This window comes from Homo sapiens, chromosome 22, assembly GCF_000001405.40.
Source record: "Homo sapiens chromosome 22, GRCh38.p14 Primary Assembly".
Taxonomy (NCBI): Eukaryota; Metazoa; Chordata; class Mammalia; order Primates; family Hominidae; genus Homo; species Homo sapiens.
Window position 1 is genome coordinate 48,623,094 of NC_000022.11, and position 13,348 is coordinate 48,636,441.

At 56.6% G+C, this 13,348-nt stretch overlaps 1 protein-coding gene across 2 annotated transcripts in view, besides 5 other annotated features; it reads left to right on the forward strand.

Annotated features, from left to right (window-relative positions):
• Positions 1-13,348, forward strand: part of TAFA5 (TAFA chemokine like family member 5) — a 262,380-nt gene that overhangs the window by 133,541 nt on the left and 115,491 nt on the right. The gene's annotated exons all lie outside the window — the stretch shown is intronic.
• Positions 5,485-6,314: an enhancer, noted in NCBI's record as "H3K27ac-H3K4me1 hESC enhancer chr22:49024390-49025219 (GRCh37/hg19 assembly coordinates)". NCBI's record gives its function as "activates a minimal SCP1, AML or CMV promoter by ChIP-STARR-seq in primed H9 embryonic stem cells {active_cell/tissue: H9 hESC(primed)}" and the evidence as "EXISTENCE:reporter gene assay evidence [ECO:0000049][PMID:30033119]".
• Positions 6,315-7,143: an enhancer, noted in NCBI's record as "H3K27ac-H3K4me1 hESC enhancer chr22:49025220-49026048 (GRCh37/hg19 assembly coordinates)". NCBI's record gives its function as "activates a minimal SCP1, AML or CMV promoter by ChIP-STARR-seq in primed H9 embryonic stem cells {active_cell/tissue: H9 hESC(primed)}" and the evidence as "EXISTENCE:reporter gene assay evidence [ECO:0000049][PMID:30033119]".
• Positions 7,144-7,973: an enhancer, noted in NCBI's record as "H3K4me1 hESC enhancer chr22:49026049-49026878 (GRCh37/hg19 assembly coordinates)". NCBI's record gives its function as "activates a minimal SCP1, AML or CMV promoter by ChIP-STARR-seq in primed H9 embryonic stem cells {active_cell/tissue: H9 hESC(primed)}" and the evidence as "EXISTENCE:reporter gene assay evidence [ECO:0000049][PMID:30033119]".
• Positions 11,579-12,153: an enhancer, noted in NCBI's record as "H3K4me1 hESC enhancer chr22:49030484-49031058 (GRCh37/hg19 assembly coordinates)". NCBI's record gives its function as "activates a minimal SCP1, AML or CMV promoter by ChIP-STARR-seq in naive H9 embryonic stem cells {active_cell/tissue: H9 hESC(naive)}" and the evidence as "EXISTENCE:reporter gene assay evidence [ECO:0000049][PMID:30033119]".
• Positions 12,154-12,726: an enhancer, noted in NCBI's record as "H3K4me1 hESC enhancer chr22:49031059-49031631 (GRCh37/hg19 assembly coordinates)". NCBI's record gives its function as "activates a minimal SCP1, AML or CMV promoter by ChIP-STARR-seq in naive H9 embryonic stem cells {active_cell/tissue: H9 hESC(naive)}" and the evidence as "EXISTENCE:reporter gene assay evidence [ECO:0000049][PMID:30033119]".

Below are 13,348 nucleotides of genomic sequence, written 5' to 3' on the forward strand. Positions count from 1 at the left end.
TGCAGGGGGTGGCGGCGGTGAGCACAAACTCCAGCTGTCACCTTCGACCTTGCAGGATGCCCTGACGGCGGTGGGATGGATGAGCATGGTTTCGCCAGCAGCCGCAGCCTGTTGCGTGGCCCTGCGCGGTGACCTGTGGGACGGGACGTGCCGCGTGGCCCTGCGCGGTGACCTGTGGGACGGGACGTGTCGCGTGGCCCTGCGCGGTGACCTGTGGGACGGGACATGTCGCGTGGCCCTGCGTGGTGACCTGTGGGACGGGACGTGTCGCGTGGCCCTGCGCGGTGACCTGTGGGACGGGACGTGTCGCGTGGCCCTGCGCGGTGACCTGTGGGACGGGATGTGCTGCGTGGCCCTGCGCGGTGACCTGTGGGACGGGACGCAGCCCGTGATGTGTTTGTGACGGGTGTCGGTATCACCTTTTGAGCAGGTGTCTTGGCCAGGTCCCTGGCGTGAGTTGGTGGAGGAAGGGGGCGGCTCATCGCTGAGTGCCAGGCTGATGTGAACTTCCCGGGGCTCAGCATCTTTCTTGGAAAGCCTGCAGACAGGTGTGCAGGAGGAAGAGCCAGCAGGCCCAGCACGCCCCATTTAACCGCATCAGAGCCTGGCACGGCGGCCCGAGGCCTCTGCTGGGCTCCTCACGGTGCACGTCAGAAAGCCTATTGCCCTTCGTATTTCCTACAGATACTTTAACAGAACTTGGTCCATTTTCTTGGGGAAAATTTTAGATTTATGGAAAACTTGAAGGCAGTTCAGAACGTTCCCATATACTATGCACCTACTTTTCACCTAATAATTATTAATAGGACATTTTAACATTCATATACACGTTTGTTACAATTAAAGAACTGGCATTGGCTTGTCATCTTCAGCTGAAGTTTTTATGGTATCCAGAATTCCTTAGTTTTGTCCTTTTTCTTTCTGAGATCCCATCCAGGATCCCACGTGGTATTATTAGTTGTCACGTCTCCTAGGACCTCTCCTGGCCCTGACAGTTGCTCAGACTTTCCGTGTTGTTGATGACCCTGACAGTTTTGAGGAGCGAAGTTGGGTATTTTACTAAATGACCTTCTTTTGGAATCTGATGCTTTCCCCATGATTAGAATCGGGCTGTGGGTGTTTGGGAAGAAGATGCCAAAGTGAAGTGCCCTTCTCATCACATCCTATCGGGGCATCCACTGTCATGAGTGTCACATACTTGGCCTTGAGCACCTGCCTGGGGTCGTGTGGGTCAGGTTCCTGCCCTGTGAGGTCGCTCTTTCTCCCATAGGGTGCTCCTTGGAAGAGCATCCCTAGGTGCAGCACTCACTTATGGAGTGGGGGAGGGACAGGCCGCCTCCATGAGGACACATCCACTCTACTTGGATTCTTCAGCGTCGGAGACATGCGTTTTCTCCCCATTTCGTAATCGGTTCAGTCACTCTCACTGTTTATCAGTGTGGACTGATAGATGCGTTTGTCCTTTAGGCTGCGATCCAGGGCTGCTTTATTTACCGGGTTGCCAGGTATGTTAGCTCTGGCCATGGGCGCTCCCCCTGGCACTCGTGGGCTCCGTTGGCACAGCCCATCAGTGACTGTGTGTTTTGAGCTGTTCTTCACTTCTTGGCACCACCAGTGACTCCTGGCTCATCCTGTCTAGCTCCTGTCCTAGTCTCAGAAACAGCCGTTACCCCAGGGAGTGTGGGTTTCTTTCATCACAGAGTACTATTAGAAACCTAGGTCTTGGCCGGGTGTGGTGGCTCACGCCTGTCATCGCAGCACTTTGGGAGGCAGAGGTGGGCGGATCACCTGAGATCAGGAGTTCAAGACCGGCCTGGCCAACGTGGCAAAACCCTGTCTCTACTAACAATACAAAAACAAACAAACAAAAAAACATCAGGGTGTGGTGGCGGGCACCTGTAATCCCAGCCACCTGAGAGGCTGAGGCAGGAGAATTGCTTGAACCCAGGAGGCAGAGGTAGTGGTGAGTCAAGATTGCTTCACTGCACTCCAGCCTGGGAAATAGAGTGAGACCCTGTCTTGAAAAAAAAAAAAGAGAGAGAGAGAGAAACAAAAACCTTGGTCTTGGTGTCCAGCATCCTTGTTGCTAATGGAGTGTCATTCATTGTTTCTCAGCCTTCTTGGCCGACAGAGGGAGGAGATGCATGAATGTGTATGACCCACCAGTCTATTCACAGCCATGAATACACCGTGTGTAACCACCATATCTATGTTGAGGTTAAAGGGGAGTTCACTCGGGCGTCTCCAACTCTGATCACCACCCCGTGGATTATTCTAGCCCCCTCCCGTTGCCTGTCGGTAAACTCCCACTGCAACAGTGAGGAACTGGCCCCCACTGGCCATGCAGCTCACTGTTCAGTTCAAGTATCCGCGTATAGCACTATCGCAATCATGAGTCTGTCCTACGGGAAGCACCTTTATCAACTCATGCACAGTGCTTACGATCAGGTCCTTTTGCTTTCAGTCTTACAGACCTCACCCCTTTCCAGAATCACACCGGGGAGCTCCTTTTCTCCCCAGCTCCCTCAGGGAGGTTATTTCACACATTTACAACACAGATGCTCCTAACGCCAGATAAAAGTCCTGCCTGGAATGCCCAACCTAGTAAATGATATTTTAGATTTGCATAGATTGAAGTTCACTCTTTAGTGGAATTGTGGGGGTTTTGGCAAATGCATGACGCTGTGTGTTCACCATCACAGCATCCTACAGAATAGTTTCTCTGCCCTAAAAATACCCTGGGTCCAACTATTCATTCCTCTTTCCCCGCCAGAAACCCCAGCAACCATTGATCCTTTGACTTTCTCTGTAGTTTTATCTTTTCCAGAGTGTCATGGAGTCGGATTCATAGTGCATGCAGCCGTCTCAGACTGACCTTTTGCCCTCAGCAGTAAGCGTTTAAGGTTTCCATGTGTCTCTTGTGGCTTGGCAGCATCTTGTTATCCCCGAGTAAGATTCCACTTATATGAACGTGACCACCTTTTGTTTATCCATTCACCTGTTGAAAAGTTTCTTGGTTGCTTCCAGTTTGGGGTGATTTTGAATAAGGCAGCTATAAACATTCACACGCAGCTTTCTGTGTGGGCAGAAGTTTTCAAATCGATTGGCTAAGTACCTAGGAGTGTGATTTTGGGATCGTATGGTAAGAGTATGTTCTGCCTTGTAAGACGCTGCCAAGCTGTCTTCCAAAGTGGCTGCATTATATCGGACCCCCGCCGGCCGTGAAGGAGCGTTCCTGTTGTGCCATATCCTTGCCAGCATTAGGTATTTTTTGATTTTTGGAATTGAGCCATTCTGGGAGGTGTATGGCCGTTACCTCCTTATTTCAATTTGAAGTGTCCTGATGGCAGATGATGTTGAGCAACTTTTCATATGCATATTTGCCATTTTTTTGGTGAAGTGTTCATTCAGATCCTTTGCCCATGTTTTAATTGGGTCGTCTGTGCTCGTATTGTTCAGCTTAAAGGTTTCCTTGTGTGCCCTCCAGATAACAATTCTTCATCGCATTTGTGTTTGCAAATAACATCTCTCTGTCTGCGGTTTGTCTTTTCATCCTCTTCACAGTGTCTTTGCAGAGCAGATGTTTGTAATGTTAGTAAAATCTAATTTATCAAATGGTTTTCTTTCATAGAGTATGCATTTGATGCTTATCTAAAAGCTCATCACCCAATTCAAGGCTCCATAGATTTTTCTCCTGTGTTTATTTCTACAAGTTTCATATTATTGTGTTTCGTCTTTAGGTCTCAGGTCCACTTTGAAGTGGTTTTTGTGAAAGTGTGAGGTTGGCGTTTAGATACCATTTTTCCTTTTTGCCTGTGGACCTTCCAGCTGCTCCAGCCCCGTGCTGAGACCTCCTGTCCTCCGTGGGATTGCCGGTCTTGTGGGTTTGTGTGGGCTCCGTGGATGTTGGAAGGATGGCCGCGGGGCCCCTTTCCTTCACTGTGGCAGCAGCCCCTCCTGGTGATCCTGCAGCTTCCTCTGTTTCCTGTAATCTGCCGGGATACACACCAAGGCCAGAAGACATGATTTCCACTCGGCTTGGCATTGGCACCACGTATGTGTGTCTAAAGAAGGTTAAGCAGAAGAAACCTGATAATAGTTGAATTTTTCTGGAAGTTCAGTCTTTTCTGTACCATCCTGGACCTCCCAAGTTGGCTCCTCCCAAGACAGGAAAGTCTGCAGTAAGAGTCTTGGTACAGTGAAGGATGTGTTGTCTCCGTCACTGTCCCCGGAGCCAGCACGTGCCCGGCAGCTGCAGGTCTGGGGGTGGCGGGGGAGGCAGCCCCACAGGCGCCGAGGATGGAGAAATGCGTCAGCACCCAGAGGGCGCCGCGTGCAGGCTGGGCCAGTGCCAGGGGTCGCGACAGCGCACGCAAAGAGTGCCTGTGATGCTGCTGGTGGTTTTTGTAAATTGTGACACAGCCCTGCCCCCCCAGGTAGTTCCATCCCGCTGTGCTTGGAGAGCAGGCAGCTGCAGAGAGGCTGAGCAGCTTTCTTAATGGGGGCGAGTAGCAGGATGGAAACTGCAGCCTCTGTCGTGGGAGGCCCACGCTGTTGGACCCAGCAGCCTCCTTTCTTGGCTCATCCAAAATGAGACACTCACACCCTAGGTGCAGCTGAGGCAGGACCCTCTGTGTCTGTCCCTGACCCACGCCTGGGCTGATGTGGAGGCTGCAGGGAGTAAGGGCCTCAGGGCCATGGCCAGGACGAGGGGGAGGGAGGCACAGGCCTGGCCTGGGCACTGAGGCTGCCCGTGGAGTCCGTGTTAGGCTGACCTCAGCAACACATGCCAGCAAGGACGGGGGGTTGCATATTCTCCAGATGCTCCCAGGTGACCCGGCAGGCAGGTGTGTGCACTTACCTTACTCCCACCATCCAGGCGGGGAAATGGAGGCTCAGTGTGGGGGAACCTTGCCCGGAGCGGAGGATGCGATCCTGGTCAGGCTGGGACCTGCTGTCTCTGCAAGCCAGGCTGGGGTGGGCACAGGACGTGACTCTGCCGGCTCTGTGAGGTCTGGCCTGAGGCTCTGGTGGGTCCTTGGGGTTGAGGTGGACTTGGGAGGTGACGCAGCTGGCAGGAGGGCTGTTTCAGGGCATTTGGCAGCACAGGCTACCATGTTCCACTTCTCCACAGGCCCAGGCCAGGCGCGTGGGGACATGGGGAGGCTGGCTGCTGCCCCACGGGACCCAGCTTGTGGGGGTGTCAGAGGAGCCCCTGCCTTGGCACACCCTCCGTGCCAGTCCCAGCCCCTCCTGCTTCCTGGTCATCGCCCCCTTTGCCTCTGGAGTGTGGCCTTCTGCCCTCCCCTGCTGGGGTCCTGCAGGTTCCAGGCCCAGAAGATCTCTCCTGTTCAGATCATGTCGCCGATCACAGCTTCCTCTGCAGGTACCCAGGTGCCCTGTGCCTGGCTTTTCTCCCAGGTGGGATGCCAGGTCTGCTAAGGAGGGCATAGACGGGTTTGCTCCCTGTGCAGCCCCAGGGGCCTTCGCCACCCCCTCCAGGAGAGGCGATGCTTGGACCTGGTGAGCTCCCAGATGTGCTGTTGAGCTGGACGAGCTTGGAGAAGCAGAGCTGCCATGCTCTGTGTCCCTCTGGAGCCAGAGACAGGGCATGGCTGCCCCCGGGAGGATTTTAGGCCCCTTCGTAGGGTGTTTCTCCTTAAGACAAATAGCCACTGCTGCAAACAGCTCCGCGGCCACCAACAGTTATGGGAAGTATCAGACACATCGGCGTGTTTGCCAATCCTTACGTGTGCCAGCCTCCTGCAAGGTGGAAGGTGTCAAGTTAATTAGGAGATGGCACCTGGGGCTGTGGGTGGGGGCTGGGAGCTCAGGCGTGCAGTGTGACCAAGAAGTGCAGAGCCGGGCGCCGTTTCCCTTAGACCTGAGTAAAGAGGAGAGGAGTAAAGAGGAGTGTGAGGGCCACAGCACACTCGCAGCTGCCGGGCAGAGGGGAAGCCCTGGCCCCTCCGCAGGCCCTGCCGGCGGCCTCCTGAAGGAAGGGACCCACCAGACGGGTGCTCTGGGGCCCCAGCGGCTCCCCTCGAGGTGGACTCCACTTCAGCAATGCTTGCTTGAGGGCTGGGCCTGCTGGGGTTCTCTGCTTCAGCCCCATCTAGGCCCTCCCACCCTCAGGGCCTGGCCCTGGGCTGACTCTCCCCTGCTTGCTCAGCTCACACGCCCTCTCCCAGGCCTCCCATCCTCCGGCTCAGGAAGGACAGAGGCGGAACAACCCAGCGGCCCCTCCTCGTCCTGGCCTCGGCACCCCGGGGCTTTGGGAATGAGGCACTGTGGAGCACAGCTGAGCCCGTAGCTCTGCCTCCAGGCCCCCCTCCGGATGCCCCACAGTCCACAGCTCCCTGGGCCCCAACCCTCGCTGCTGCTGGCTTTGCTAAGTCCACCTCCTTCCTGTGTCCCCTGTGCCTAGAAACGGTCTGAAAGGCACATGCATCCTCTTAAGATTGGGGTGGGCACATGTTTTAAATACTGGGGAGTCACAGGTTGGGTCACACTGCATGGTCTCCACTAGAGATGGTTTTGCCCCTCAGGGGACATTTGATGATGTCTGGGGACAGCTGTGGTTGTTCCAACGTGGGATGCATGGGACAGTCCCCAGCACAGAGACCCAACTCTATGTCCACATCACCACTGCAGGAAACCCTGGGATGCTTGGGACGGTCCCTAGCACAGAGTCCCAGCTCTGTGTCCACATCGCCTCTGCAGGAAACCCTGGATCACAGCCCCCTGGATGGGAGAGGGCAGATGCCACCCGGCAACGCCGAGTGTCCTCCCGGCAGAGGAGTGCGGGCACCTGGGAAATTGGAGCTGAGCTGGGGTCACGTGCTTTAAAACCTCTTGGGCTCCAGTGTTGGCTGGGGAGCCCCAGATGTCCAGGGATCCCTGGGTCACCCTGTAAGCTGCATAGAGAGCCAGCCCAGAGAAGCCAATCCCAGCCTGGGAGGAACTGACCTGACTGGGGTCGGGGCGGGGGACGAGCAGGTGGAGTGGGAGGCTGCGAATTCTAGATTCTCTAAATAGGGTGCTCTGCTTGCAGAACGGGGGCGGGGGATGAGCAGGTGGAGTGGGAGGCTGCAAATTCCAGATTCTCTAAATAGGGGGCTCTGCTTGCAGAACGCTGCTGGGCATCTCTGGTTGGAGGCGAGCTCGCTGAATGACGTGTCCCCTGTTTGCCCCAAGTTACTCCCTGACCCTGGCACTGACCAGCACATGATGCCTTGTGGGTGGGGTGGGGAAATTCTGAGAGGGGCAGGCGCCCAGAGCTGGTGACAGGCACAGAGAAAAGGAGGCTTGCTCCACTGCTGCCTCGGCCCTGGCTTTGGGGCGTGCGTGGCCTTTATTCATTGCCTTTGTTGAGTCGTCAGCGGCGTGTGATGACCAGGTGTGCGCTGTTGTGTCCACAACTTTCCAGCCTCGCTCGGGCCCAGGGCAGGTGGCCACGCCTTCTTACTACACAGGTTCACGGGATAATTGGTGGGGCCAGGTGGACCCAGTGAGGCGCTAATGATGGAAGTCTGTGCAGTGAGTGCCGCTTCCAGAACAATGACAGCGTCCACGTCTTCACCGCCCTCCATCAGGGGCCGCCTAGAAGCCACACAGGCTGCAGGGCTGGCTACCGGGGCCCTGAATCACGGGGGCGATGAGCCCCAGGCTCCAGGCGCTGGGGAAGGAAGCTGGGCACTCGGCTGTGGGGCTTTTGTTTCTACCTGAAACCAGCCAGCCAGGCCCCCCGAGGAAAAGCAAAGTGAGCCCAAATCTGCCCCCTATACCCAGATACCCAGTGTCCCAGGGGCACCTGCATGGGGGGAGCCCGGCGTGCGTGCTGGCTCTGGGATGCAAGGCCCAGGGTCACCGAGGACAGGGGAACTCGGCGTGTCCTGCAGCCAGGGGCCGGCGCTCTGGAATGCAGCGTGGAGTCCCTGCAGGAACGTTCTGGAGGGGGTGTGGCTCCCCGCCCTGTCCTTTCTAAGGACGGACCTCCTGGGCCAGGCAGAGGCAGAGCTCCTTCGGCTCACCCACTCGGGACGGTCAGGGGACCGGGGCTGGGATGACCTGCCATCTGCTGGGAGAGGCAGGGGGCCCTTGGTGTGCTCCGGGGTCTTGGCCCCTCTGCCAGGCCAGGCCAGGGTGAAGTGGGCAACCTCAGGCTCCCCTGGCAGGAGCTGCAGCCCACCCAGGTGAGCGGTCCCTGGTGGGCAGCCCCACCCAGCCACATGCCTTCCATGAGGGCCACGCTGGACACACGCCTGCCCGGCCTTTCCAGCAGGGACTGACGTAGACAGGCCTCTGCCTGGAAGGGTTCCCTTGGTGTCCTGGTGCCCCGGCACCGGTGCGGCCCGTGCAGGCGCTGAGTGGCTCGCGTGGATATTCCCTGCCAGGCGGCAGCATCCTCACGACTGCTGTGAGTGTCCCCAGGTCTCCAGCTGTGCAGTGTGAGGGAGCTCTTGGACCAGAGCCCCTGCTGCCTCATTACCCAGATGCACAGCCCCGGCGTCACACCGGCCTCCCGAGCCCCGTGTTAACTGCAGAAGAAATTAGCCAGACTCAGGCGCTGGGAGCAGGTAATTAGTTGCTCTTGCCCGACCACAGCTTCGTGGCTGGATCTCACGTTGAGAGGACTTAGGGGGAAATCTGACGCCCTCCAGGTTTCCTGACATTTGCTAGACATCGCGGAATGTAAAGGGTCTGCGTGGCCGTGTGGGAAGGACAGCAGGGGGCCTAGGGGGCAGCTGGGATGCGGCCTGGTCTAAAGGCAACTTCTCAGCTCCTGGCTGTGAACGGGCGATGGGACCCCTGAGCCCCAGCCCCTGTAAAATGCAGACATGCGTGCCCACCTCCCAGGCAGTACGGGTGGCAGGGGTCCAGCCAGACACACGGCTCGGTACAGGGCCTGCAATCCTGTGTTCCTTCATCACGTTGTCACTGAGTGTCATGTGAAAACCAGGAATCCACATTCTCCAGGGCCTAGGCCGGACGTGGTCTTCCTAAAGGTCATCTCCTACCTGGGAGTTGGGAGCGGCTGGGGTGCAGGTGTTTCCTGTGGGCCCAGGGAGACCCCACACATGCAGCTTCCCGGCCACCGTCCTCAACCCTTACCGCCACGGGCCCTGCCTGCCTCCCACCTACCATGGGCCTGCCTGGTGTGGGTTGAGGCTTTTCTGATCCAGTCCAGAGATGGACGGGTGTTAATCCCGCGGGGTGATTTTACACAGTGAGAAACCCAGTCCAGAGGCAGATGGGTGTTAATCCCACAGGGCAGTCTTATAGAGTAAGAAACCAAGGCCACTGTCCTTGCTTTGCCCCGACCCCTTTGGTGCCAAGTTTTGGGGTGGGGTCCAGAGTTACACCCTGAGGTCCACCCTGAAGCCCACTGCGCTGCTGCCTGGCCAGGCTGGGACCTGGATCTCTGAGCTCGGTGCCTGCCACCCTTGCGGGGATACTAGGGTGAAACAAGACGCACAGAACGTGCCGGGCCCTGGAGAGGCTGTGAGCACCCTGGGTGTTGAAGGGTCCCCTTGGCTGGGGAAGCCCCCTCTGGAGGCCGTTCTCTGTGTTGGGCATTGAAGGGCCCTGGCCCTGGGAGGTTTTTCAGTCATGGATGCCTTGGGACCTGGCTGCGGAGGCCCTGACCCCTCCTGACGGGGAGCAGCAGAGGCTGGAGGCCTCCTCGTCATCCCTGCAGAGAGAATTGAAGGCTCCAGGGCGGAGTCTCTGCAGCCCCAGGCGGAGGCTGGGCTGGAGTGAGGTCACTGCTTGGCCTGCAGAGTTGGTGGCAGGCATAGACTACAACACTAGAGACCCCATGGGCCTGCAGCATCCTCAGTTCCACTAGACGGCTGCAGGCGTGCACTTCCTGGGGCTGAGAATGGTGCTCACAGCCGTCCTCAGTCCTGGCCCCTGGCGCCCTGTGGGACAGGAGTTTGGCGAGGATGAGTGAGGGTGGGGCCAGGCCCCATGGAGGCAATTCCCAGGGGCTCCCAGGGGCTGGACCACAGGGTCTCCCAGCAGCCCGAAGAGCCAGGCCGCCCCCACTGGGCAGCAAGGAGGAGGCTGGGCCTCCTGGAGGACTCCAGAGCCGACCTGAACCCCACGACCTTTGCGGGGAATGAACCAGTGAAGGGATGAGGAGGGCACGAATGTCATCTGCCCACCACGGCAGGGAGAGTGTTCCAGCATGGCTGTGGCCTGGGAGACTGGGCAGGTGGTCGTTGCACAGATATTCCTGAATGTTGGAGAGAGGGGGCCAGCGGGCAGGAGCATGGGTGTGTTTGTGGAATGTTCTTGAAACAATACAGCTTATCTTCAGCGGGGCTCACCACCCACGTGCAGGGGCTCTTCTCTCTTCCCCACCTCCCTCTCTCTCGAGCTCCCTGCTTTGCTCTGTGTCTGTCTGTCTGTCTGTCTGTCTGTCTGTCTGTCTGTCTCTCCCTCTCTCTCTCTCTCTCTCCATCTCTCCATGCTTTGCTCTGTATCTCTCTCTTTTCCCTCTCTCTGCATCTTTCTTGGTGCAAATTCCTCCTGAACGGAGCCAAGAAGGGAGGCTTCTCTAGGGAGGGATTGGTGGGGGCGGCTGGGGGTGGCAGTGGGTCCTGGTGCTTCTGTTGTCGTGACCATGTGAGTGCGTTTGTTTAAATGACTTGTGGAAAGTTACATATTAAGTCATCTTTAGTTAAAGTGAAGATGAGGATATGGGAGGAAGCCAGAACGTGGAAACGGTGAAATACTGAGAAATTGAATGTTCATTTATAGTGTTGATTTGATTTCTCAGGGATGTGTGTGCCACTGTGTTTATTTCTCACAATCGTGGGTGAGAAACAGCTCCCTAGGGCCTGGGCGAGGCCCCCACGCTTTCCAGGGGGCAGCTTGTCACTCAGAGGGCCTGGGGTCACAGGGCCTGTTGACGGTGCACTGCCCCCACTGCCCTCAGCTGCCCGGTGCACAGACTCAGCAGGCGAGAAGTCATGGCCAGAGGAGAGTCTCTGTCCCTTTCCTTGACGTTCACTCACTCGCTCACTCACTCACTCACTCACTCATTTATTCACTCACTTATTCAATCATTTACTCATTCACCCACTCATCACTCACCCATCACTCACTCATTGACTAACTCACTTATTCACTCATTCACTCACTTATTCAATCATTTACTCATTCACTCATCACTCACTCATCACTCATTCGTTAACTCACTTATTCACTCATTTATTCACTCACTTATTCAATCATTCACTCATTCACCCACTCATCACTCATTCATTAACTCACTTATTCAGTCACGCACTCATTTATTCACTCATTCACTCCTTTACTCATTCACTCACTCATTCATTAACTCATTTAGTCACTCACTCATTCACTCAATCACTCAATCACTCCTTGACTCCTTTACTCATTTACTCATTCACTCATTCACTTATTCACACATTCAATCATTCACTCAGTCATTCACTGATTTACTCAGTCACTGATTCACCCACTCAGTCACTGATTCACCCACTCACCCACTCATTGACACACTCGGTCATTTACTCAGTCATTCACTCACTCACTCACTCACTGAGTCACTCAGTCAATCACTCAGTCAGTCATTCATTCATTCACCCTCTCATTCATCTACTCATTCACTCTCTCACTCATTCATTCACTCAGTCACTCAGCCACTCATTTAGTCACTCACTCATTCACTGTCTCATGCACTCACGCAATCCTTCCTTCATCTGCCTTTTGCCAGTCATTCATGAAGTGCAGCCCTTGTTGGGCTTGGGGACAGGAAGGAGCCAGCCCATGGGGCATCTGGGAGGAGCTTGCTGCACTCTTTGGTTTGTGTCCACACCAAAGAGGAAAAGCAAGTCTGGCCCAAAGCAGGGTCCCAGGGAGCCATTTTCCTGAGGTAGGGGGGATCCTCTGTCCTGGTCAGGGAGGTGCCCGGGCAGCAGCCCCTACTCCACCATCCTGCCCGGGCTGTTCTGGGCCTGGGGCCTGGGGACGGAGAACGCAGAGCACAGCCGGCCTTGTTCCCGTTGTGGCCTGTTGCATGCAAACAGAGCTCCGTCCACCTAGCACCAGCTGGGGCCAGAGAGCAGGGCCAGCCTGTCCCAAGCCAGCCAGGGCTGGGTCTGAGAGGTTGACGTGTGCTCGGGCAGCACAGTGGGCAGGCGTAGCTGGTGGAGGGCACAGCTGCGAGAAGCAGAGGCCAGGGGCCTGGGGGCAGGCAGCCCCTGAGGCTGGTAGAGGCCTGGGAGGAGCTAGGGCTTCCCAGTCTTCTTCAGGGCAAGCACAGGCTGACCTCCAGCCACTCTGCCTTCCTGGCCGCCTCTAGCAACCGTCTCCCAGTCCCTACCCAGGGGGCCCAGAACCTTCCAGCAGCAGCTCCTCCTCCGTGAGGGTGTCTGTCTTCCCAGGCGTCACTGCGCAGCGCATTTCAGGGGCTCTTGAGCAGCCCCTGCGTGTCTGTCTGGAGCCCTCCATCCCAGCTAAGGGGGGCAGAGTCCCACCAGCACTCCCCCTTTCCTGGGCATTGCACCCATGCTCAGTCCTGGCCTGGTTCCTCCTGTGTCTGCAGGACATATTCCCAGGCCTCTGCAGGTGCAGCCTGGGGACCTGCGAGAGAAGGAAGGGGTTTCTGGGGGTGGCACTGGGCGTTTTTGATTCAGTGTCCCTGAGGAGCCAGTGCAGGGAGCTGAACCACAGACGCTCTGGCTTGGGTCCTGGGGGCTGAGCAGCCCCAGTCATTGTTGTAATCGCAGCCATTGTTGCTTTTTTATTTGTAGTGTCATCTTCTCCACCTGCTTCTGTCGGATTTCACAGGTGGCTCTTGGCACACTTGGCCCAGGCAGAGCTTGGGAGGAGCTGTGGGTCCAGGGCGCCTTCCTCCTCCCTCCCAGCCACCCACACACTTCCTGTGGGCCCTGCCCACGTTTGCAGGTGCACAGGCAGTGGCCAGACGGCCAGGCCGCAGGCAGTTGCTCCCGGCAGTGGTGGGAGCCAGCTGAAGATTCCAGAAGGGCCATGGGAGGGGCTGGCCAGTGGGGACACAGGGAGGTGTTGCCGTCAGCTGGCCAGGTCGCTTCAGTTGATGTTTTCCTGAGATCGTTGACTTTGCTAGCAACACCAACATTATATTTCACAACTATGTGAGTGAGGGCAGCCTGGGCCCGACGCTGGCTGTTCCGTGGGGGAACCGGGCTTCCATGATCTCCTCGCACACATATAATTGCTTCTGTTGAAGTCAGACTGTGATGGAGGAGTTGATTCTGGGATTTAATAACAAACTTGATTTCACTGTAACTTAAATATTGAGACTATGATACTCCATCAGATCTTAAAGAAT